Raw genomic sequence first — 25,660 nt, forward strand, 5'->3', positions numbered from 1 at the left:
TTCTAATTTAGATGAAGCTCTTTGTATCCACTTAGGATAACCCTGCTTACCAAACAAATTTTGTATATGTACACGGACAAAGGAAATTTTTCCTTGTTTCTATGAAAAATCTTACCAAAGTTTAAATATTAAATCACATGTAAACCTTTAATCACTTATGGAGAAAATAGTACATACATGAAAACAGAACAGTCCCAGTTTTTGTATTTGTGTATGAAACCACTCTCATTTATGTTGAATGGGATTGTGATGGCTAGAATTCTTCAAAGGTAAGAGCTTCAGAGTATTGAAAATTTCAATTCTATTAATTCCAAATACATATATCTCAGACTAGGCTAACTCTATTACAGTGTAATAGAACGTGATTAGAGGAATAAACATTTTAATTGGTGCATTAATTTTTATATCTAAAAAGGCTCTGCAAAAGGGCTCAAAAATGGTGTATGCTTTTAAATATTAAATACGGCCTTCCCATGCAAACGTAAAGAAAAGAAGTTAATTCCAATTATTGCCTTAATAATTTTTAAAGATTATGCAAAGATGTGTATTAACACATCAAATTTTAGGTTTCCATGAATACATAGTTTGGCATCTGATTAATAAATAATAGATTTGCTACCATAACTATGTCTTACTATTGAACCTTTAGTTTAAGTCCTGACCTTTAGCTAGAAAGTTATTTTGAATGGCAGTAACAGTTCATCATGCTTTCAGTGCTATTCACTCCAAAGAGATGCACAGTGAAGGTACTTTGAAGGTGCCCCAAAGAAAATGCTCACCCTTGTCAGTGACGTCACAGACTGGGCCTGACAGATGTTAGGCTTTGAGATGGCCAGGCCTATGCTTCAGCCCCACAGAACAGACTACTTAAGGCAAACACCTACCAAGTCGCATACATACAGCCCCACAAGGGTCCAGCCCGAGTCAGCGGCAGAACACCTTTATTAGGTTTGCTTTGGATATTTCATGTGGTTTCAATTTCATTAAGCAAACTTGGGACAGGTTTAGGTAGGTAAGCTATCACACAAAAAACTAGTTCTGTCTGGATAAGAGGCTGTGTCTCAACTACTCAAAATGGCATGGAGATTCTTTGGTAAGCTTGAAGGAAGACTGTCTCCTATCCATGTTATAAGTTGCAATCATTAATAGGTATTTTAACCACTTTCTTCCTCTACAGTGGATGCTTAGAAAAAAGAACTGTATCAAGATGTAGTATAAAGACTGATCAAAATACAATTCTTTGTTCAAACAAGATCCTTACAGTTCATTCTTACGCTGTGTAAGTTATCAGCAATAATTAACACTCCTTCCTTAATGTTTATAATTATCTTCTCCCTGGAAGGAACAATACAAGCTGTGTTAAGTCACTTTTAAAAATAAGAATCAGTGGCCAGGCACCGTTGCTCACGCCTGTAATCCTAGCACTCTGGGAGGCAGAGGTGGGCGGATCGCCTGAGGTCAGGGGTTTGAGACCAGCCTGGCTAACATAGTGAAACCCTGTCTCTACTAAAAATACAAAAATTATCTGGGCGTGGTGGCGCGTGCCTGTAGTCCCAGCAACTCGGGAGGCTGAGGCAGGAGAATTGCTTGAACCCGGAAGCAGAGGTTGCAGTGAGCCAAGATTGTGCCATTGCACTCCAGCCTGAGCAACAGAGTGAGACTCCATCTCATAAATAAACGTTTCTTATAATATACTGAAACAGGAAAACAGAAGTTTTGCTTTTATTGTTTTAGTAGACAGCTATCTATAAAATGGTGTTTAGATACCTGTTTGGGAAAAATGAGAGATCTAAGTATTTGTGCATCTGCTTAACTAGAAATAAATCCTACTGTGAGATGTTACCTTAAAAGTACAGTTGACCCTTCAGCAACACAGAGTTGAACTATACAGGTCCACTTAAACGGGGATTTTCTTCCATCTCTGCCACCCCTAAGACAGCAAGATCAATCCCTTCTTCTCCTCCTCCCCCTCAGCCTACTCAAAATGAAGGTGGCAAGGATGAAGACCCTTATGATTCCATTTCCACTTAATAATATTATTTTTCTTTTTCTTAACATTTTTTCTCTAGCTTACTTCATTGTAAAAATACAGTATATATGTAACACACAAAATACATGTCAGTCGACTATTAATATTGTTGGTAGGGCTTCATGTCAACAGTAAGCTATTAGTAGTAAATTTTTAGAGAGTCAAAAGTTACACTCAAATTTTCTACCGTTTTGGGGGCTTGGCACTCCTAACCCCTGTGTTGTTCAAGGATCAACTGTCCTCTACTTACTGGCCTTCAGTATAAATGTCAGATTACATATATATTTGGTATCTGCATAATGGTTTTAAAAGCCAAAGCCTTGTTTTTAATATTAAGATGTGTTCTAGCATACTGGAGATGACATTTTTCAAAGCACTTCTGGATCCTGAATTGAAATATGTAGCAAGACACATCAGTGACTTCTAAAAATACAACTTATAAGAATAAATGACAGTTCCTCATTACAATTATAAAGTTTTATTTTTGAAGAAAATTATCATGTGACTGGCAAATTCAAGAAAAAAACATTAGAGCTGAAAAAAAGTTATTTTAATCCATCAACCTGTTCCAAGAAAAGCTGCTACACATCATCCTGGCTAAATCTGTGGTAACCCTGTTTTAGAGACTTCTTGAAGGCTACTAGGGGGCAAAGAGGCATGGAGATTCAGTCTCATGGCTTTTATTATGCATTCCAAATAAATAGCTGTTTTCTGAATGCAGTTGCCCAAATGCCTAAAATTTTCTGACTGGACTGATTCTCACTCCTGATAGATTTCTAAATACCTTATAGAAGTGTCTTCAGGAAAAGACGCCAAGCAACCCTTTGAAATTCCTCAAAGCTGCACACTCATCACCTGGGAATTATTCACAACCTCTCCTGCGATTGCCCTGTGGGCCACAACCTCTGCCTGCTGTCCCTGTCCTCGCGACCAGCTCTCCCTCAGGGCCCCCCTAAAGTTACTGCCCCAAAGTCCAGACTACTCCTTGGGCCTCCAGTTAATCCTCCTTGCTGCGGCTAGAGAGCTCTTTCTAAAACAGGAGTGTCTTCACAGCACTTTACCGCAGGAATTCTTCCGTCATTCCCCTTCATCCGTCAATACAATCTCAACCCGAGCATGGCAGCCGAATCCATTCTTGATCTAACTCAGTGATTCCCAACTCCAGATGTTCACAGAAACATCTGTGGTGCTTCAGAGTCTGGTTCCTGTGGTCTAAGGCATGTAGCCAGGATACAGAATCAGTGATTCCAGCTCCTTCTGTTGGCCCCAGGTGCAACTCTTGCAGAATTCACTCCCCAAGGGGCCATCCAGCCTGAGTTTGGAGCCTTGCAGGTGACTCCTGTGACTAGACACACCCTGTACCTTTTCAGAATGTTATTCATCCCTCTAGACATGAGGGCAGAGGCCTACCTTCTGCTCTATGGAACCCAAATCCTGGAGACCTGTTCCCAAGCAGTTATGGCTGGCAGAGTGTTGGAAAGGGTGACACTTCCTTCAAAGACATTTCAGGAAGGTTCAATACTCCTAAAATAAGATTCCATAGAATAGTGAGTTGCACCCTATGAAGATATTTTTGACTTACAAAAATAGCAACTTCATGTGGCTCAACCTGACACACTGGAAAGGGCTACAGAAGTTACTCAAGAGAATTTAAAAAATGAAACACCACAAATGTCAATTGAGCAGATTTAATTTCCCTGAGATTATATTCCATAAGTGATACAAATACTACCCCTTAGACCAGGGGTTTTCAAAGTTTGCTGTGCAAAAAATCAGCTAGGTATCTTATTAAAATGGTCCCCAACATGTCTGAGCTGGAGCTTCAGTGTTCACAGGTCTCAGGTGATGCTGATGCTACTGGTCTCTGGGTCACACTTTAAAGAGGAAGACATTAGATAAAGTAAAAGGAGTCATGAGAAAAGGTGCACCTAAAAAACATCACATAACAAAATACTAAAGTCACTAGTGGAGAATAACAAACATGTCTCTCTACTCTATATTCTAAGATCAGTCTTTGGTTTTCTATATTTCCATGTGTCTGATTATAAAGACTCATTAAGTTTATGGGCTTTTTAAACTTCAAAAATAAAGTGCTACGATTTTTAAAATAAAAACACGACTATAAGGGCTTTTAAGAAACTTGCCTGTTTCTGAGAGTGAAGGACAATCTTTGAGATCCAAACTCTTCTGAAATTCTATTTCATTGCATAAACCCTCGATTATTTATTGCCTTTTGAGTCTAATCTCCATGAGATTTAATTTGCTCCTTAAGGGCAAGGCCATTTTATATATTAATAATAGTTTGGTCTCCTCGAAAGCACTTAACATTTACATAAAAGTTCACAATTGTAAAACCTAATCAGAAGTCCATTTTTCCTTGCAGCAAGATAGGAAAAAGGACAATCTTCAAACTAAAACATACTTCCAATTATTTATCATAAATATTTGATTTTACTCCATGACTTCTAAAATACAGAAATGTTTACTGCTTTACAAACAATAAATATTAAAGATATGACAAATTACTGTAGCATACTAAAATATTTACAAGTATGCATGTGTTAAGTTGAAAACAGGCATACCATCCTAGTGGACTAATTAAGAAAAGTAAAAGGAATGTGAACTTCAACTGTCTGACAGGAAGCCCTTAAGTAACTGATTAATACTTGATGCAATCCCAATGGTCATCCTGCCTGGCATATGTCTCCCTGCAAGGCTATGTTCACCTTCTGTCTGGGCCTCTGCCTCTCGTGGCCCCCTCGGTGCTGTATATGAAACTTGTTTAGACAAGAAATGGCACATCAAAATATTTCCGTTGATCAACAGAATGCTTGTGTTTGCAGGCGTGAAACTAAAAATAAAGGAAATGATTCTTTTTTTTTTGAGACGGAGTCTCACTCTGTCGCCCAGGCTGGAGAGCAGTGGCACAATCTTGGCTCACCGCAAGCTCCGCCTCCCAGGTTCACGCCATTCTACCTCAGCCTCCCGAATAGCTGGGACTGCAGGCGCCCGCCATCACGCCCGGCTAATTTTTTTTTTGTATTTTTAGTAGAGACGGGGTTTCACCATGTTAGCCAGAATGGTCTCCATCTCCTGACCAAGTGATTCACCTGCCTCAGCCTCCCAAAGTGCTGGGATTACAGGCCTGAGCCACCGAGCCTGGCCAGGAAATGATTCTTAACACAAGACACAGTAGCATCAAGTTCTGGTCTGGCATGACTCCTGACCCTTATTCTGCATAAACTGTTCATTTTTAAAGCATTCCTGTGCTTTGGCTTCACCACTGGGTTCTGTCAGCACCAGAAGGATGCAACCTGACTGGAATGCAGGCTTCCAGGAGCAGGCTGTGGCAACCCCAGCATCTAAGTGGTTTAGTCCAACTTCAGAGCAAGCTGGGCTCTCAGAGGCAGGGAGCACAGGGAACAGGTCCCAGGGGCCCGCTGCTCCATCATGCAGTACAACTGCTGAGAGCTGGGAAAGGTGTAACACACTGTGATTACAAACACAATTTTAAGAGTCCAAATTTAGTTAGCTGTGTAAAAACAGCCAAGCCTATGTACTTTAATCAAAATCAGTGCAGTCTCAGTGTGGTCTTTACTGCCATGAGAAATCGCCAGCAGTGCTTACAAAACACCACGGATTTCTTGGCCCCACCCAGGCCCACTGAATCATCTCTAGGGGTGAGGTCAGTATCTTATTTTTAAGCAGCTTTGAAAAGCGACAGGCTGGTTCTAATAAACCAGCTTCTTCAATCTGCAGGATTTTGATAGAAAACTCCCTCCTAGTGTATGGAATTTAACTGGAAACTCAAGTTCCAGTTGATCAGAATTTGACTGACATGTCACCCTATTTTTCAGTAGGAAAATGCTTGTGGTTTCTTCCCTTCCTCCAGGTATCATGTTCTCTTATTCCACCACCACTTCCCTATCCTGTAGCTGGTAGTTTGTTTACCCTTGAAAATTGTAACCTGATTAGCCCAGGTGGGAAGAAGAGACTTCCAGGTAAACGCTGAATATGCTCACCTTGGAAAAGCTTTGCTCCAGTCTTAACCTTCCCATGAGGTGCCGTGACTTCTGATCATCCTGCAGGCATGGCTGCATGGCCAAGAGCTGACCTGGAAGCCCAACAGCTCACACCCACCCGGAAATATTTCCCTTCCACCCCAACCCTTTCCAAAGTGCCCTTTTCATCATGGCCTCCGGCCCTCATTCAACCATCTCAAATTTTGTTGCTTTATGTTGTCCAAATCCATCTACTCACTTTTTAATTTACTATTCCCATCACCACTAGAGTGTCGCTTGTTTAGAGACATTATGAAAATGGCCACTAAGGCTAACACAGCGCCCAGGCTGGGGGGGCCGCAAGGGCTGACCTCCTGGGCAACCCCCGAGAGGAGAGGGGCGATGATGCGGCCCACTGCAGTCACAGACTGCCCCACGCCAATAAGGGTGCCGCTGGCCTGGGCCCCGCCCACAGTCAGCTGGAGGTCCGTGATGCACGTCCTGCCAATGGCAGTGGAGAAGGACAGGAGAGTGGAGGAGAGGACAACTGCACCCATGGTGGGGGCCAAGGAGTAGAGCAGCAGCAGTGTGCAGGTGAGTATGCTGGAATGCAGCAGCAGTGCCTGCGAGTTGTGCTTGTACAGCCGTAGGATTGGCCCCAGGGCAAGGCCGGCCACGGCCCCCAGCATGCTGCTGTAACTGATGAGGTAGCCTGTCACCTTGGGCCGCACCCCAAAGCGCTCCTCCAGGGCCAGGACAAAGTTACTGTAGTACAGCATGACTGCCATGGCCATCAGCAAGCGCACCAGAAATATGTCCCACATTTCGGAAAACAGCAGGTTCTTCATGTTCCGCAAGGCCAACACTACTTCGACCCAGGGCTGGGCAGTCTTCTTGCTGGCCCTGGCTCTGCGGCTGGTGGCTGCCTCCTGCACTGTGTCATGGCTCCTTCCCAACAGCACATGGGTCTTTCGCAATGGCAGGCCCTTCTCTGTACTGCCCGGTTTTGCTTCCCTCCATGGAAAGAACCAAACGAGACCTGTTAAAATGGCATGAGACCGGTTAAAGCATCTGAATGCACTGAATCCATACACTACCTCCTTGGGGAAGGGCCAATTATTTGTGTTAGATTACTAATCTATATTTTGGTACTAAATTTACTAGTCTGTATTTTTGTATCTAGTCTTTCACCATTCCTATGGCTTTATTCTGACATCAGGATTCTGGCAAAAGACTCTTTGCCTTTAAAAAAGAACACCACGATACCTACAAAATACTCACTGCTTCCTCCCAGCTCAAAAGCCTATGATAGTGTTCTACATCTCATCATTTCATATCTGAATTGTTATAAATTTAAATTCTTCCCTTATTAACTTTCTAATTCTCTGCCTATTCATTATCTGTCTGTCCACGTAACATCCATCCATCTATCCAACCATCTAGACATCCAATATTCATGGAGTGCTTCTTAAGTGCTAAACATAGAAATATATTAACACAGAAAAGGCCTCTGAAAACACTGTACTCAAGACGCTAAAACCTAAAAAGAGGTTCAGATAAGAAAAGAGGCAACCAGACTGCAATATAAGGGCCATGCTGGGGCAAGTGCAGGCTGCCACATATGTGACAGCCTGCCTTGGCTTGACCGATGGGCAGGGACAGCTTGGCCAACTCTCCCTGGGAAGCACCTGCTTGGATCTGCCCCAGGTCAGGGTCATCTAGTGCTTGTGCAGGTCACACCTGCAAAACCTCAGGGGGCACCATTCTCATAGACCACAACATATACAACCTTACGCAGTGGCTCTAACCGCCACTCAGATGATCCCACCTCTGTCCTCATAGGACTAGCACATTCTTGCCTGTTGATCTCTTGCCAATCCATGCCCAAAAGTGTTCTTAAAACTGAATTCAAACTTGCCATTCTAGGACATCCCTCCAAACTCTATCCTACTGTTTTTTAAGTGCTAAAGAGCACTTAAAAGTTCAACTCAGACCAGTGGCTATTCAGTGCTGCTTCATGTTGTTTTCAGCAACTTCATTTGTGTGTCATTTCTCCAAATATTGTATAAGTGCTTCAGCCATAGACAAATTTACAACGGAAAACCAACCACATGAGAATGTGGAGGATGTGGACTTTTAATAATTCAATCTTAAAAGGGCCCTTGAACATTACACAGAATATTGATAAAGATGTGAAAGAATTATTGCTGATGAACTAAAAAAGTAGAATTAAAATAATAAAAATGATGATGATGATGGCAACTAACTTCTGTTGAGTGCTTACTATAAGCAATCCACCCACCTACCCATCCATCTGTCCAACCTTCCAATATTCATGGAGTTCGTAAGTGTGAAACGCTAAGAAAATATTAACAAACAAGACAAGGTCTATGCAATCCTACCTCAGGCTCTGGGGTAAGCTGCTTGTATGCAGAACCTCTTACAGTTCTCATAACAAGGCTATGTGTTTTGTTACCCCATTTTATAGATGAAAAAATGGAAGACAATTTGCCCAAGGGTCACACTAAAAACTGGCAAAGCAGGGATTTGAACCTGAGTCTGTCAGATTCCAGAGTTTGGAGTTCCTAACCATATGAACAGAAATCACAATGAAAAGGCTTTCTCAGGCAAAGTGGCGGATCAGAGGAGGATATAAGAAGCTAACGGAGTAAAAGCGTTGACGAAAACAGCTATAGTCATTCAGGGGTAAAGGATGGCAAGACTGGAATGAGAAAGCAGCATGATGATATGTTCACTGCACTGAATGGCCAAAGCCCTGGGTGGGACAGTATGTGCTGTCTAGCCAGGTCATCCTCCCTCTCCTCCTCTGCTATTCTATTGGCCCCAGCCTGCCTATCCTCAAGTTTCTTATGTTGGAAAAACAAGTCCCTCTTCCTTGAAGCCATTGTAGTTGGGAACACTTGCAGCGGAATGTTTTCCTAACTGCTTAGACCCATTTATAGGCTTAAGATAGGGCAACATATTAAATGGCACTATTGTTGAAGGATCCAAAATAGAATTCCATAACCAATTCCTTTGTTATATGCTGACTTTCAATTTTGAGTGATACCACATTCATGTACCTTCCTTTATATGTGAAGATACCTGGTCACATCAACGAGGCATGTGTTTGAGATTTTTATCTAGGTTTATGTGCACCCCTCCTGATTCAAGTTACAGGCTAAGTAAATTCCTGGCAACAAATCATAATGTATTTCTGTGAGGACTGAGAATAAGCTCATGAACTTTGCTTCCTGGGTCTGACATCCTAACCCAATAAGGAAATCATCATGCAAAAGAGAACCTTGAATATGAAGATTCAAAAAGCTGCAGTAAAGTACAATATCATTAAATGTAAGGAAAACTGCCTAGCATGAATTCTCGTTTATGAAGTCATTTATCCAAGGGCCAGCCATGCACCACTCTCTAAGTGAAGAAGAAGAAAGACATTTTAAGCAACCAGCCCTGCATCCAAGGAGCTCATAGTCCTGTGTGTGTGTGTGTGTGTGTGTGTCTGTGTGTGTGTCTGTATGTATATATGTATGTCTTTATTTGAGACAGGATCTCACTCTGTCACCCAGGCTGGAATGCCGTGGTGTGATCACGGCTCACTGTAGTTTTGACCTCCTGGGCTCAAACAATCCTCCTGCCTCAGCCTCTCGAGGATCTGGGACTACAGGTATGTGTCACCATGCCTGGATAATTAAAAAAAAATTTTTTGTAGACAGGGTCTCACTATCTTTCCCAGGCTGGTCTTGAACTCCTGGGCTCAAGCAATCCTCGCGCTTCAGCCTCCCAGAGTGCTGGGATTGCAGGCATGAGCCACTGCACCCGGCCCAATGTGTATTCTGCACAGGGGTGATAGCAGTGAGTAAATCTGACAAAATCTCTTCCCTCATGGAGTCTGCCTACTGATTTGGGGGAACAAAGAGAACGTAAGCAGTAAAACAAACTAATAACATAATTTCAAGAATGCTATGAAGAAAATTAAGCTCTTTTAGGCAGAATGGTCAGAGAAGGCCTAAGGAAGCAGATATTTCAGTCTTGAATGCTGAAAAGAGAGAGCCAATAACAGATGTGGGATGAATGTGGCAGGTAGAAGACAGGCCTGGTACAATGCCCTCCTATGGGAATGAGCCTGGCATACATATGGTAGACCAGAAAGCCAGCATGGCCAGAATGTATGGAGGAAGGCAGAGAGAGGGGCAGGGTCTGCCCATCACCTACCACTGTGCCAGCTGTGAGGCATGTGCATTACCATGATAGAAACAACTGGGGGTCTGTAGCAGGAGATTGCATAGTCTTCTTTCTTACTTCCATAATTGTATTTAAATTTATATTAAATACATTAAAAATAAAATATTTCCCTTTTAAATTGCAACTAAAATATGTATCATGCAGAAGAATAAAATTAATCCCTTCCTCACATCACATTACAAAAATCAACTTAAATAGATTAAAGATAAAAATCAACTCAAAATGGATTAAAGACAAACATAAGACCTGAAACTGTAAAAGAAGGTAGAAGCTTCTTGAAATTGACCTTGGCAATAATTTCTTAGGTATAACAACAAAACCAATCCAAAAATAGACAAGTGGAACTACCTGAAACGAAAAAGCTTCTGCACAGCAATGGAAACAAATCAGCAAAGTGAAAAAGCAACCTGGAAACAATCTGCAAAGCAAAAAGTAACCTGCACAGTGGATACGATTTGCAAATCATACATCTGATAAAGAGTTAATATCCAAACTATACAAGGTACTCCTTCAACTCAACAGCAAAAAAAACAAAAACAAAAACAAAAAAACACCAAGTTTAAAAATGGGCAAAAAATCTGAATAGACATTTCTCCAAGGAGTGGCTGATGGAAAAACAAAAGGTGTTCAATGTCACTAATCATCAGGGAAATTCAAATCAAAACCACAACGAAAAATCACCTCGCACATGTTAGGAGGGCTAATACAGACATATTTTTAAAAGATAAGTGTTAATGAGGATGTGGAGAAAAGAGAACTCTTGGGCTGGGCGCAGTGGCTCGCGCCTGTAATCCCAGCACTTTGGGAGGCAGAGGCGGCGGATCGCATGAGGTCAGGAGTTCGAGACCAACCTGACCAACATGAAGAAACCCCGTCTCTACTAAAAATACAAAATTAACCGGGTATGGTGGCATATGCCTGTAATCCCAGCTACTCAGGAGGCTGAGGCAGGAGAATCGCTTGAATCTGGGACGGGGAGGTTGCGGTGAGCTGATATCACATCACTGCACTCCAGCCTGGCCAACAAGAGCAAAACTTGGTCTCAAAAAAGAAAAAAAAAATAGAAAAGAGAACTCTGGCACACTGTGGGTGGGAATGTAAACTGGCACCGGCCACTATGGAAAACACTAGGGGGGGTTCCTCAAAATGACTTTTGTTTTTGGACGATGAGTCTGTCTATTCTGATAAAAACGAATTGCAAAGAAATAAGAGAAAAGTAGGTAAATTGGTCAGTATGAATACACAAAACAATCTTCTCATGATTGTCAACTTACCAGCATTGAGAATGAAGACCAAAAAGCAGATGAAGGCTGTGAGATAAAACCCATCCTCTAATTCAGTGAGATAGCCACCGACCACGGGGCCCAAGATGAAGCCCACACCGGAGGCTGTGTTGAAGTGTCCGATTACAAGCGGCCGTTCCTTCTCTGGAACCACATCAGAAAGTAGAGCCCTTGAGATGGAGAGAGTGTGTTTAAAAATACCTGCAAGGGGATGAGAAACATGCTCTGTAACTTTTTCCAGACCATAAGTATCTTACTTATGATCCTGTGCTTAACCTCTATCCCTGATGGAGTTCTGATCTCTGGTTTCTTTGGAAGGCAGCTATGCTCACCACTATACCACCACGGCATCTGATCTTCTTTTTCTTTGAACTTCTGAGGTCTGCCGGTTCCATCCCACCGTAATTAGACTCCTGGCCTAGCACTCTGATCCTAGTCAGTCACCTTATCTCTGGCAATCAAGTCCCTTAACCCTCAGCTTGCCTACCTCCTGTCATGACCTCCCAAGTGCCTCCCAGTTACGCTTGCATTTCACGGTGGCTTCCATAAAGCGAGTTTTCACTCTTTACACATTAACTCATTGAGCCAATATTTACTGCATGCCTACTCTATGGCCAGCCCTAAGGTTGACCCTGAGGATAAACCAAAGAACAGAGAAACGGAGCTGGGGAGAGGACAAGGAGTGAGTAGAAATTTGATAGCACCATCACTGAACCAATACCAATGGATTTCCTACCAGTAAGAGGCCTGTGAATTTGTTGAACAAATTGAATGCTGTGATATAACTTTTAATAAGAAATTAAAGTAACTGACAACTATACTCCTCATATCTCTGCAGATGGATTTGACTCCTATGTCCCTAGACCCCCCACGTGCAGAACAACCACACTTGCAAACATGCTGACAGATTCTGGTAACCAGCGGCCCACTATTTTGATCAACACATAGTAGAAACTGAATAAATGCGGCTGGCGGATCTGCATGAATCACTCAAGTGTGATGTGACACAGCGTTTCTCTGTGATCTCCCGTGGGCAGTCTCACTCTGCACATCACTGTGCTGCCGCCGAGTGCTTCAACACACTCGTCCTACTAATCTATTCCCAGCTCTGCCTCAAAAGTAGTGTGGTTGTGTGCCTGACGGCCAGCCTTTTTGGAAAGCAAATGTATAAATCTCTTTTGGAATTAGGTAGATGGACTCTCCCTAGACCTGTTTCCTTAAATGTCAGAGAGGACTGGGCCAGAACATGATTTCCGTAGGTCTCGCAGGAATTCTATGATTCTTTTTGAAATTGTATTGATGTCAGGTTCACTTTACATACATGAGGGACGAAGACTGTGGTAAGAGTATCCCGTGAACAACCCAGCCTAAGCTTCTCTTCTCTTTCAGAGGTTGGGGTGGTGGACAGAGTGGAATGGAAAATGAGGCGTCCAACTCAGGCACTTAAACCTCAGGCACTGACTTGAAGTCAGTGGTTCCTTTTTAGGACACAAGGATCTGAATCCACAACTGACTTTGTGAAGCAGAACCCTGTGAAGCCCCCCGTGGCTTGCTCCTGTTCACAGACCACTCAACACTGTGGAGGTTACATGGGCAAGGAGGAGTTTTTATATATAGCTCTCATTTGTGAAGATCATAGTGACGGTTCATATAAGAGAACTCTCACTACTTAAGCTCAGGCTCACTTCCTATTAAATAAAACATTTTAATCCTCCCCACAAATCTCAATGCATTTTGTAACAACTCTACGTTCTTATTCATCTTCCCCATCTGCTTCTTTAGAATTATGAACAGTACACACCACATAATGGTGGAGTGTGTTATACTATAGAAAGACATGCTGCCCACCAAAGACAATAAACTCAACACCAGATGCATATACAATGGCTATCACTTGGATTTTGTGTGGTACTGGGGTTTGTAAAGACAACTGACCACATTTAAGCAAAGACCTTCACAAAGCATTTATCTAGTCAACAAAAAGGCATGGTTAAGAATGTTGGGGGGGCTGAACTCTACAGACTTTCAGAGTAAATGAAAAAAGTATATATTCCACAGAAATGGTGTGGAAATCCCAGGTGAGTCAGCTGATCATCACGTCTATGTTAAAATGAGTTATCTGATGCTCTATTTATTTGGGGAGTCAGTTAAAAGCAAGCAGTTTAACAAAACTCGAGATGGTGCCCAATGCCCCTGACTTGTCAAGCAGGGTAGCAAAGCCTGCCAGTGCTCTGACAGGTACAGTAAGAGAGACACTGAAACTCCTCTAATTCCTAAGAACGGCAAAGAGAGAACAAAGAGCTTCTACAGGAATAATATACCCACCAAGCGCTACGCCGCATTCACAGGAGGTGTTTCAAAAAAATGGACAAAATAAAAGCTAGTTCAAAATGTTAAAAACAGTCCAGACGAGCCTGGAAACAGCAAACTCGCCCACAAGCTGCTGTATCATAATCCCAGTGTCCCCGCTAACTGACAGTCAGACAAAAGGAGGCCACAGGAAAGCTAAAGAAGTGAATCCCAATTTGATGTGAGGAAGCCCAGTTACAAAACTACAGGCTCACCAAGGGACAGAACAGGAACCTCAGTGCTGGCCAAAGACACTTAACAAATTCTTACTGAATGATGTAGAGTAAGATAAACAGGAAGGAGACAAGTCCCAATACAGTAGTGTGATCATTCACGCTGACAGGCTCTGAGGGGCAAGGGGCTCTGTCAAGTACGACTCCAGGTTTGGTCAAGATAGCAGAGTGCCTGGCCCATGCTAAATGTTCAATGGCCAGCAGCTGCTGGTGTCAGTTATAGTCACAACTGCCATTGTAATTAGCACTTTAGGTAAGTGCTAATCAAAGAGGCAATGTCCAGCAGGAACAGGCTTTAGATATAGACATAGACACACACACATGCTCGCGCACGCACACACACACACACAGGCCAGCATTTCTGCCTGTTAGAATTCCCACATTTGGGAAGCCTCAGAGACTTGCCAGGCACGGCTCCCTTCTGAACACTCTTTAAGCAAGTAAGGATGTTGAGCAAGACCACAGAGGTGGCCCAGGAGGAAGCGTGCAGTTTCACATATTGAGGTTCTGGGGGAAGCTACGTTTGAAAAAAAAAAAAAAAAAAAGTCACTCACCTGCCGGGACTCTAGCCAGGACAAACAGAAACACATTGGTGGCTGCTCCGAGAAGGAGATAGCCCAGAGCACTGAGTAGAATGCATGCCAGCAAGGAAGACCGTCTTCCCACTACATCGCTCCAGCAGCCCTGAGGAAAGTAAGAAAAAGCCCTTGGACCCCATTCACAGTAACGACTACCACCATGCAAATGACCAAAACAAAGTGACCAGGGGAAAACAATGGAAGATTCAGTGTCAGATCCTCAGATGCTCAGTTCCATGATGCCATTTGTCAGAGTAAGTTATTTTCTCTGATCTTCACACACAGTGAATGGAAAAACACAATGTATTTTTTTTTTTGTCCAAAAACAAACAAACAAAAAAGTCTGATGATCTGGTAGCTAAGAAAGGCAGGAGAGATGATAAAGTATAATTTATAAAGCCTCATTATTGTCTCCATTCTCATTACTTTATAAAACTACACTCTTCAGATACCATGTACATTTTTAAAAAATTTAGAAAATACTGAAAAACAAAATGACCAATACAAAAATACCTCATAATCCTAAATGTACCTATATTTTAACAAAGTGGTCATACAATATGCTCTATTTTGTAACTTGCTTTTTTACTTAATATGACTTAAGCATCATTCCATGTTATTAAAACTTTGCCTTTGTTACCATTTTAATCACATTCCTTATTCCACTACATACCAATATTTATTTAACAAATAGTTTTGTTAGATTTTTGCTCTTTAAAAATTTGTCAAAAATATAAATAACGCTACAATAGGCATCTTCATAGCAAATTCTCCACAGATACCCTTAAAAATTCCCTTAGAACAAACCCCTAGAACTGGAGTTGTTCCAATTCTATGCAGGCATTTTTTTTAGGCATTTGCCATATACTGACCAATTACTCTCTGGAAAGATTTGTAATCCCATATATACTGTAATTAGAACAGTAACAGTCTCCATTTCCCTGTATTTCAACCAGCACTGCTACTGTCAATGTTTAAAATCTACAGATTTGTTAAGCAGCATCTTTTAAAATTATGTTTGCCTTTTTTCCTGATAATTTTTTTAAAATTTGTGTACTATTTGCATTTTCTCTTGAGAGAGGCAGGTAAGGCAGCATTTCTGTCCCCTTAGAATTCCCACATTTGGGAAGCCTCAGAAACCTGCCCGGCGTAGCTCCCTTCTGAACACTCTATGCAAGTAAGGATGTTGAGCAAGACCACAGAGGTGGCCTAGGAGGAAGCCTGCCATTTCACACACTGATGTTCTGGGTGAAGCAATGTTTGAAAAAAAAAAGTCACTGCCTTAAAAGAACAATTACTAAACACTATACTATCAATGGAGCACTGTGTAAAAGGGTTAAGAAACAGGGTCCCCCATGCTGTGTGAAACCCTGGATGACCCCCAGTTCCAGTACAATGGGCTGGTCTCCATTAGTCCCGGCTAGGAGGTGACTGAGGCTGGTTCCTGCGTCCCTCCTTCCTCAGTGATGTTCCACAACCATTCCTCACCCTCTCCACTAACCATGGAAGGAATCTCACAGGCCACTACTGCATGCCAATTGCCAAGTGTAGCTGTTCATGCCCTCTCCCCATTTTTATTGATATGTTTATCTTTTTCTTAAGGGGCCGAAAGATCCCTTTACATAATGATGTAAACTTCCTCTATAAAATATTTTTAAGGTAAACCTTCCAAAATACTGTCATCCTTCTATAGGTGTCTTCAATCCTACTCCCCAATTTTCATTTCAATGAATTTTAGAAATTCCCCATACTCTTTTGATCTGGGGAAAGGGTTACTGGCCTCCTTGTACTCACAGGGCAGTGGTATAATCTGGGATTTACACCCTGGCCCTAAGCCTGGCTGTTTGGGCTCAACGCTGAACTCATCATTCCTTCCACCATGACCTCGGACATATGAGCTAACCTCTCTATGCCTCAGTCTCTCTACCTGTAAAACAAGAATAATATCTGCCTCAGAGATTATTTTCCCCACTCAACACTTTCTGTGTGCTTAATATAAAATGAGTCATTAAAGACCCATAACCACCCTTTGAGGCTGGTTATTATAAGGATTAGAGGAAATAAAGTTCTCAAAACAGGGGCTGACACATAGGTACTTAATAAGTGGATCATTTTTTATTAAAATACATTTATTTAAAAACATTAGCCAAATCTGACAGAATATACTTTTTCTGTATAAAGATTTGTTCTCAAAATTAAAAGTTTTTTGGTAAAATTTATAATTAAAATATGTGCTTACAGAAGTATGGGTTAAAAAGGAAATTTTAACTAGGAATTTCTGTATCTTAAGGCTTTCTAAGAAAGGTTTTCATTAAATTTCAGCTAAAAGACATATGAAATGTTCTGTGTAAGTACAAACATAAAACAACAAAGGAAAATCTGAAAAAAAGGGTAGAGTCATAGTTAGCAATAAAAATTTACATTTATAAAGTGCTAACTATTGCCAGGTACTCTGATAAGTAAGAGTATAAAAAAATTAAGCAAGTAAGCCTGGTCTGTATCTCAGGAAGACCAGAGTCCAGGAAGAGAAAACATTAAAAGAATTAACATACACTGTGACCTAATAGCTCTAACAGATACACACATCAGATATTTTGGGAGTGAGTTTACAAATAAAGAGAAAAGGTGTTTACTAAGATGTAACTCAAACTTTTCTCTCACAAGAAAGAACATGAAATACGACATTCTGCTTGACAAGCAAGTGCACTGCTCTCCTGTACAATCTGATAACTCTAGTTACCTATTTACCATTTTATATCATTAAGGCAATGACAGATGACTCTTAGAAAAAAAATAATATGGGCTTAGAGTCTAAATACTGAAATTAGGTAGCTTAGTCAAATTAACCTATGTGGGTCTTAATTGGTCTTAATTTCCTCCTATATAAAAGAAAGATACCAAACTACTTTGCTGGGTTACTATAAAGTTTAAATGAGGCTAAAACTATTATTGTAATGGAAATCTAATATATGAAATACTTCAATAAATCAGGAAGTAGCTGTTTACTTATTTAAGAATTTATTATGGAATCTGACTGAATTTCTTTTAAAAATATATTTTACAAGGAAGCAACTCTTGGGAAACATAAGTACACTTTGTGTTCATTAAATATGAGACCCCCAGGCCAGCTATTGAGACCAAAGTCACTACTGATCAATTGTGAGACTAAATAGACTATTCTACTGAACCGCCTGAACCACTGGACGCTGAGGTCTCCAGACCAGAGTGATCACAGTAGACATTACAGGGAGAGAGAAGGGGACATCAGGTAAGGTCTCTGAAATTCAAACAACTGAGTGGTCAGAAGTAGGGCACTGACAAGGTCGCCACTGAATCTGTGTTTCTTTTTTTTGATTTCTTAGAAACAGGGTCTTCCTTCCTATGTTGCCCAGGCTAGACTTGAATTCCTGGGCTCAAGCGATCCTCCAACCTTAGCCTCCTGAGTAGCTGGGACTGCAGATGCCAGCCACCATGCCTGGCCACCTCTGGATCTTTCTACTCCATGCTGCACATATACAATCAGCCAATCCAAATGTCCCCTTCTGTCTATACACTTAAGTCTTATAAAAAAGCTTTTATTTAGTTCAAAATACACAACTTTAAATAGAATAGCAGAAATATAAATGGATTTGATTACTGTCAATGAAGTGTAATAAATAATAAAATTGGTAATAACATTTTTTTTTTTTTTTGAGACAGAGTCTCGCTCTGTCGTCCAGGCTGGAGTGCAGTGGTGCGATCTCGGCTCACTGCAAACTCCGCCTCCCGGCTTCACACCATTCTCCTGCCTCAGCCTCCCGAGTAGCTGGGACTACAGGTGCCTGCCACCATGCCTGGCTAATTTTTTTGTATCTTTTTTTTTAGTAGAGACGGGGTTTCACCGTATTAGCCAGGATGGTCTCGATCTCCTGACCTCGTGATCCACCCGCCTCAGCCTCCCAAAGTGTTGGGATTACAGGCGTGAGCCACCGCGCCCAGCCTAAAATTGATAATAACTTTTGTTTACATTCTTTTTGTCTGTAAAAAGCAGGGAATTGTAGGAAGAACATATTACAATTTAAAGGTGTTCTCATCCCAAATCTATCACTTTTTGATAAACTTCAAGTCCCCAATTTTACTACATCTGTGATGGATGAGACATGTGATCATAACTTACCACCAATGTGCTAGAAAAGAGTTGCAAAATGCCATAGGAGGAGCCTGTAAAAAACAAATCAATAACAATAAAATCAGCTAGAGCTATCACAAAAATGGATTAATGTGATAACAATTACACAGAAACCAACAGAAAAACATTAGGGTAAGATACCTTTTTGTTTTAAATTATCTCACATCTTTTTTTTTTCTACTTGGAAAAATGGAAGTAATACAATTTCTAACAAAATGGAAGTAATACAATTTCTAACAAAAGGTTTTCAAAAAATTGAGGGTAAACAGAAGAGAGAAAAAAGGCAAAAGGTGACGTTATGGACGCTGTATGATTGTCCTTCCATCATATGAGATTGTGTAGCTTCAACTTATGAAACAGCATAGAGAGTACTCAGGGGAATAGAAATTTAAATTCTGGAAAAACCCTACTAAGCCTTAAAATCTTAACATTGTCTCTTATATTTCTAATGTGTACTGGTTTTATAAAATGATTTATTTTATAAAGAATTTATATTTTTTTTACAGAGCTCTTTTACCTCCATTATCATGCAATGTGCCCTATCTGATTTTCCCAAAAACCTTCACACTGCTGGGTGGTCCAGTGTAATTCCAAGTACATTTGTCGAGGGAAATACAAATCACGGCATGGACCATGATTTAACAAATATTATGTACAAGACTGTCCACAAACACTTGCTTGTTTGGCTTGTGAATGATCAAGAGCTGTTAGTCTCAACAATTTCCCATTAGTTAGCATAGTCCTAAGCCCTGCTGTCTCTTGCCTTTTTGGTAAATCAATGACTTCTGGATGGAATTTTTAAGCTGCACAGGCAGAGAAACTCTACAATATCTATGATGTGTTGGTGACGGTGTGAGAAGCTTGCAACTAATTGGCTAATGTTCACCGAAACCCTTTCCCACGAGATGTGATTTCTGTAGATTATGTTTCCCTGGTCTCTCACATTAGGTTAAGGGTTCCTGTAGGCAGGAGTCCACATGTACCTACCCTTTTATACACACAGCCAGCTCCTTGCAGAGGCTCCATAAGTACCTGTTGCCACTAGTGGCATGGGACTTGGTTATAGTGCTCAAATCTCAAAATCTCTTTGAACATACGTCGTCTAGAAAAAAAGGAATTGCATTTGCTATAGGGTAATATTTTAAAATATTCTGGAAATTTGTTTTATCTCATTTCCCACTTACCTTTGGATAATATTTGGATACAAAATTGAATTGTTTTCAGGTACTTGGTTCAGAGGATTTAAAATTCAGTGCTCTAAAAATGAGCAATATCGACCACTCACCTACTATTCCAGCAACTGTTGGACTTGCTCCAAGGGACTTGACATGAAGGCTCAATAAAGGCACAACCATGCTGACACCAAACAAATCCTAAAACAAAATAAATGCTGATGGACTCAAATTAGTATTTTTCAAACTAGTAAACCTAAAAATTTAAACTAATTTAAAAAATAAAACCAATATCTAAAATTTTAAACACGTAAGAAATCATAATTGGATTCCATAGCATGCCATACAAATCCGCTGCCACTTGCAAATGCCTGGATTAGTCTGACCTGGGATCCGTTTTAACTTTACACTCAAGGAGGATATGCTACAGAAGTTCCTCAAACAAAACAGACAAAAAACCCCATATTTTCTGTGGATAAGTCATAAGAAAAAATGCAGTCATAATTTGTATTTATTGGTGAACCAGCACTTGCTTAAAAATATGTTTCCTTCTGGAGTTGGCGAAAGTGGCTAATGTCCTAGGACCTGTAGTTTATAAGCTTATAAAATAATACCTGAGAAGAAAGGCTCAGTAAAGCAAGAAGGAAGAAGCTGGTGCACTAGGGAAAGGCCAGTGTTTTGCAGCTAAGTCATAGAAAGTGAATGGGCTTTGGGGTCAGGCAGACAGTTCTCAATTCCACCTCCATCACTTACTAAACATGTGTCTTTGGAAAGCTACTTAAAGTTACCAAGCTTCCGTGCTGTCATCTGCAAAGGGTAGAACAGTAATACCTGCCTGGTAGAAATATGATGAGCATTAAGTGGCATAATGCTTGAGAAAGGCCTAATAAAACAATGTAAGCTCAAACATGTCTTCTCCCTTCTTCAGTTCTGGGGATAAGGACAGGTCCTTTTTGCTAGGTATTCTGAGTTAATAGACAGACTGTTAACTTTTCTTTTAATTTTGTTCTTATTCTCACTAGGTTACCTGCTACAGTTGGTTTAGTGGGAGAAAAAACATTGCACACACACAGTTTTCATTATATTCGACCTGAATTCCTTCTTTCATACAGCTGGTTAGTTGGAAAGAAAGAACTCGCATGAAATATGTATTTTCCTTGAGCTCAGAGTTAATCTTTTGTTCCCCCTTCCCTGTCCTGGTAGCTGTACATTCATATAACTATAGATACATAAATTTCCACATACTCTTTTCAGTGGGCCTTTTCCATGGTTACATCTTTAGATGACCCTGTTATCTAATATCAAGTGACTATAATTAGCTCTTAAAATTACATTACCAGAGTGATGGTTTATTATTTCAATATTGCCATTACTTAAAATTTCCTTTGGGTCTGAGTCCATTTCTTTTGGGCTTTGCTGTCAGTTGCATCTCATCAGCCCACTGATGTTTACACATTTAAAAGACTCAAAATGTACCAGCCACCTATTGAATCTTCTGGATCTTTCAGAAAAGGAAACTCAATTGTCCAATAACCATTTTTTTCCAAAAAAAAAAAGTCCCAGTACAACATATCATTTAATAAAATGGGTATCCTAAATAAGAGATGGAGAGAAATATTTAGGTCAAGAGACTGAGCTCTATGGAAGGTAAGTATGAAAATACAGACTCAAAGGCAATAACTGATGATTGGTATTACTTTAGCACTTGGTGAGTCTGAAAAGTACTATATTCTTCCAAGGAGACTGGCCACTGAATCTTTCCTCTCAGGAAGTTCTGTTCTAAAATTGCCTTCTCCTTTACTATAAAAGGCAACTCCTTTCTGCTTCTCAATCCATAGCTTCTTCAAAATCGCTGCATTTGGCATCTGGTCATGTGCATGTAACCACTTGTAAAAAGATCATGTCAGAAGGGGCCACTTAAACTTTCACTGAATATCAACATTTTTCAATAAAAATTGATGAATATGTACACTCAAAAGTTTCAAGACTCTTTTCAGGGTAGGAACCCCAGTAATTATTGATTACTGGACTATCTCAATGAAAATGAATTATCACCTGAATAAAGCTGATGGGATGGAAAACAAATCTCACCAAGTATCTGGAGGAAAAAAGTGGTTGAAATAATAGATCTCATCACCATCTAAGCATCCTAAACAAAACGGGCCTCAAGGGTCATCTTGGTCTTCCCTCCTAAACAAATTAAAACTTGGAAGTACGGATAACTGCTAAAACAGAACAATTTGGCAAATGACTTCTCTAAGCTTGTTCCCTTCCTCTCCCATTCAGAAACCATTTGTCCAAGAATCTTAGAGGTCTCTACATCCCTAAATATGTCAAAAAAAAACTAAATTATGTATAATGTTCCTTAGATGTTACCTAACAATCATCTGTTAGGTAGCTTTATGTGACTTTCATGTAAAGCTTCATATATTTAATTGTTTACAATATTTTCCATTAAAAAAATCCCTACTCTTTCAACTTTTGGGAAACCATAAACTTTTCCCTTAAGATATGAGACACCTAATGGTTCTCTTGAATACATTATTAAAGTTATTAAAATTCTGTATCAGGCTTGCTAGATTAGACTTGCCAAATACACAGCATAAAGAAAACATATGATAAATTGTGAATATTCAAATCTGTATTGGAAGGCTGACCTTAACAAATGATCTGCGAATTGCTTTGTTTTATTCTAATACTAAAACTACTTTGAATTCTAAGTCAAATTCTCTGAACCCTAGTCTGGACTTTCCAGGTAAGGGCTCAAATGTTTTCATCTGGCTGAACCAGCCCAAGTCCCTTCTGAGACAGGACAGCAGTAGCTTGGGACCCATAACTAAAAAGGCTGGATGTCAGCCAACTCCTCTCCAAGAACCACCCATACTCACTGGTTGTGAATTCTAGGTGCCTAGACTGAAAAGTAGAAGAAGCATCCCCATGCTGAGAATGAACTACTAGATTAAAGGAATAGTGGTCAGAAGGAGTGCCAGTCTCTGAAGTTAAAGGCATGGAGCTGGAGGGTGGATCCTGCAATGGCCTAGAGGCAGAGAAATCCTCTCTAAAAAGCCGCCCTCCCTGAAGACCTTGTGTTTCTGGGCTTGCAGCAATTTGATGAACATGCTTTCATGGTGATCTTAACTATTAACTCAACATAGAGTTGCTACCAACTGAACGCCTTGCATGGAGGTGGTGGCATGGAGAGTGCATGAAACTGGGAGAAGTGGTGGTCTTGATCTGCATCTGGGCAGAAAACGATGACTCCCTGCCAGGGCCCAGTGCCATCAGATACTATCTTCAAGGCCTCAAAGGCAGCCTTCTCCCATTGACACTTATCGCAGCTTCCTTACCCTCAAGATACTGGATTAGCTCACACTCAGGGCTGAATCAGGCCTAGCCTTGGAAAGGGAGGAGTGCAGAGGTGGATCTAGGGTTCTTGCAGATAATGGCCCAGAAACTACCAACATCAGCTTACTTGTAAGACTGAATTCTTCTGTGGCAGAACTGTGGATTACAATAGTGAAGCTCCGCAGCACCTGCCACATGGCAGGTGTTCAGAAATGCCATGAATCAGCTTACTAAACTTTCCATTCTACGTGGGAAATTAGCACTCAGGGAGCAAACCAGGACACGCGCGCGCGCACACACACACACACACACACACGATGAAACCAAACCGCCATTGTGCAATGCACACCCTTTGTCCAAAGGTAGATGGGTACAATTCACTCTGATCTGCATTTTTAAACATTCAAGTCAACCGAGAGCTCTAGTGAAAATGCACCCAATTCTGTACAAGTGGGGTCATCAACAGCGGCTTCTCCAGCCTGGTCTGGTAAAAAAGCAAACCACAGGCACACACATCATGATGAAACCAAACCTACGCTGTGCAATGCGCAGTTTGTCGAAAGGCAGATGGGTAAAATTCACTCTGATCTGCATTTTTTAATATTTAAGTCAACCAAGAATCCTAGTGAAAATGTGCCTAAATCTGTCCAAGCGGGGTCAAGAGCGGCCTCCCCTGCCTGTTCTGGTAAAAAGGCTTGCGTGTCCCTACCTCACCAGCAGCCGCACAGCAGCTGGGCTTTTCCAAGCTTGCCCACACCCCTGTTCTCCGCCCTGCAAAAGCTGCACCTGCCACAGCATTTAACACCTGGTCACACCTGAGGTTGGTACCAGGGCTTCTCAAAAGGCAGGGAAGGGAAGACGTTCCGCGAACGGGGTGCAAGAGAAAGCGCGAGGGGCAATAAAGCAGTGTGGCCAGATGCAGACTGAAGTGGGTGATAGGGCAAGAGGAGAGCTTGATAGGTAGTGAGGCACTCACCAGGCGGACTGCGGGTTCCCACTCCCTGGGAGCTCCCCGGAAGCTCCAAGAACCGCCTGGGTCCCCAGGCCCGAACACAGTCAGCACTTGCTCCCAGCCCCCACGCTCGCACTCACCAAGAAGCCCACCAAGTAGAGACAGAGCAGGAAGCGGCGGGCTCCGACGGCACCGGAGTCGGCAGCCTCCGCCTCGGTTCCTGTCTTCTGCTCCTGTTTCCGCTCTGCGGTCTCCGAGACCAGCCTCGGGGCCGAGTTCATGTCCCAGTGACCCCCAAGCTCCATACCCGCGCCGGCCGGGGGTCGGACGCAGCAGCAGCCGCGGACCTACCCCGGGAGCCCAGCCCCGCCCCGAGCGGAAGCAGGAGGCGCGCGCCTGCGCAGAGAGAGGGGGCGGGTGCTACCTGGCAGCTCCGCGGGTGCGTGGCCGGTGCTGGCTGGGAGTTCTGGTCTCAGGCAAGGTGGGGACTGGGCACATCATCAATACGGTAAGCACACACCAGTTTGTGATGATAATGATGATGCTCTTTGTTTCCTCTGGGTACAGACCCTGCTGCCCCTATCGTTGGAGGACAGGAGGGAATTGTATTGAGCTTCACTTCCTCCTATGGAGTTGTGCTAGGAGGTGACCAACTCCAGCTTGAAGATCCACAGACCCTGGCCACCAGTTGGTTGTGACAGACCTAGGATACGTTAACGTGGCTCTCCAAGCTTTCGTTTGCCTATTTAAAAAGCAGTAGGAAATAATGTAGTCCAACTTCTAGAGGTGTGAGAATTCTACACATGCTTCTTAAGATCCTTTCTGGTGCAGTGCAATGTGAACAAACCATAGATGGTCTATGCCTGAGTTGAGATTACAGTCTCATGGAGTAAAAATAATAAGCACGCAGTAAATAAACATAAATAAAAATACTAAACATGCAATGAAAAAGCATAAAATAAGTAAAATAATATGGTGATAATATAAAGAAGCACGGTCTTGATGTGGAAAGTAATGAGGTGGGGAGTGAGCTACTTTAGAAAAGCAGTTTGGAGGAGGTGACATGTAAGCTGAGAAGAGTGGAAAGAAGATATGTGTGGCTGAAACTTCCTCATCAAACTGAGAGGTCAGCAGGAGTGCAGACCATTTAGGACCCAGAAGGCCATAACAGAGATTTGGGGTTTATTCTGAGTGCAGTGAAAGGAATTAAGTGAGTGCATGACACCAAAAGATGCCTTTAAATTACTTAGCAAAGCCCATGACACATGGTAAGTAATAAATGTTAACAATAGT

The 25,660-nt window shown here is 41.6% G+C and overlaps 2 protein-coding genes across 15 annotated transcripts in view, besides 1 other annotated feature; one reads left to right on the forward strand and one right to left on the reverse strand.

Moving 5' to 3' along the window:
- SLC67A2 (solute carrier family 67 member 2) lies at positions 2,492-24,750 on the reverse strand. 10 transcript variants are annotated; one of them, NR_136174.2, is made up of 7 exons: positions 24,508-24,750; positions 20,184-20,271; positions 18,887-18,930; positions 14,707-14,836; positions 11,562-11,740; positions 6,052-7,069; positions 2,492-3,903 (listed from the first exon to the last, which is right to left on the reverse strand). NR_136174.2 is itself a non-coding variant. In NM_032718.5 (6 exons), the coding sequence occupies exons 1-6, from the start codon at positions 24,670-24,672 to the stop codon at positions 6,282-6,284; spliced, it is 1,425 nt and encodes a 474-aa protein (NP_116107.3). In that variant the 5' UTR covers positions 24,673-24,750; the 3' UTR covers positions 2,492-6,281. The 10 variants fall into 10 exon arrangements, 6 of the variants coding, with proteins under 6 accessions (NP_116107.3, NP_001309010.1, NP_001309009.1 ...); XR_923047.3 differs by having other exon boundaries at positions 11,562-11,771; NR_136173.2 differs by adding an exon at positions 19,886-20,000 and having other exon boundaries at positions 2,492-7,069.
- Positions 24,657-24,866: a silencer, noted in NCBI's record as "silent region_11834". NCBI's record gives its function as "represses an Ori minimal core promoter by ATAC-STARR-seq in GM12878 lymphoblastoid cells {active_cell/tissue: GM12878}" and the evidence as "EXISTENCE:reporter gene assay evidence [ECO:0000049][PMID:35858748]".
- TMEM182 (transmembrane protein 182) overlaps positions 24,797-25,660 on the forward strand; it is a 106,904-nt gene continuing 106,040 nt past the window's right edge. For all 5 annotated transcript variants that reach the window (XM_017003376.2, NM_001321343.2, NM_001321344.2 and 2 more), the window contains exon 1: positions 24,797-24,875. The gene's annotated coding sequence lies outside the window, so the exon portion shown is untranslated. The remainder of the gene's footprint in view (positions 24,876-25,660) is intronic.

The sequence above is a fragment of the Homo sapiens genome, chromosome 2 (assembly GCF_000001405.40).
Source record: "Homo sapiens chromosome 2, GRCh38.p14 Primary Assembly".
NCBI classification, from domain to species: domain Eukaryota; kingdom Metazoa; phylum Chordata; class Mammalia; order Primates; family Hominidae; genus Homo; species Homo sapiens.

Bases quoted from the DNA above. Each gene is read 5' to 3' on its own strand.
- SLC67A2 (NM_032718.5), bottom strand. From the start codon at position 24,672: ATGGAGCTTGGGGGTCACTGGGACATGAACTCGGCCCCGAGGCTGGTC. The intron at 20,272-24,507 runs GTGAGTGCGAGC...ATTTTGTTTTAG, and splicing joins TCTACTTGGTGGGCTTCTTG to GATTTGTTTGGTGTCAGCAT. The intron at 11,772-14,706 runs GTGAGTGACTTT...ATCCCCTTGCAG, and splicing joins CCTGGCTAGAGTCCCGGCAG to GTATTTTTAAACACACTCTC.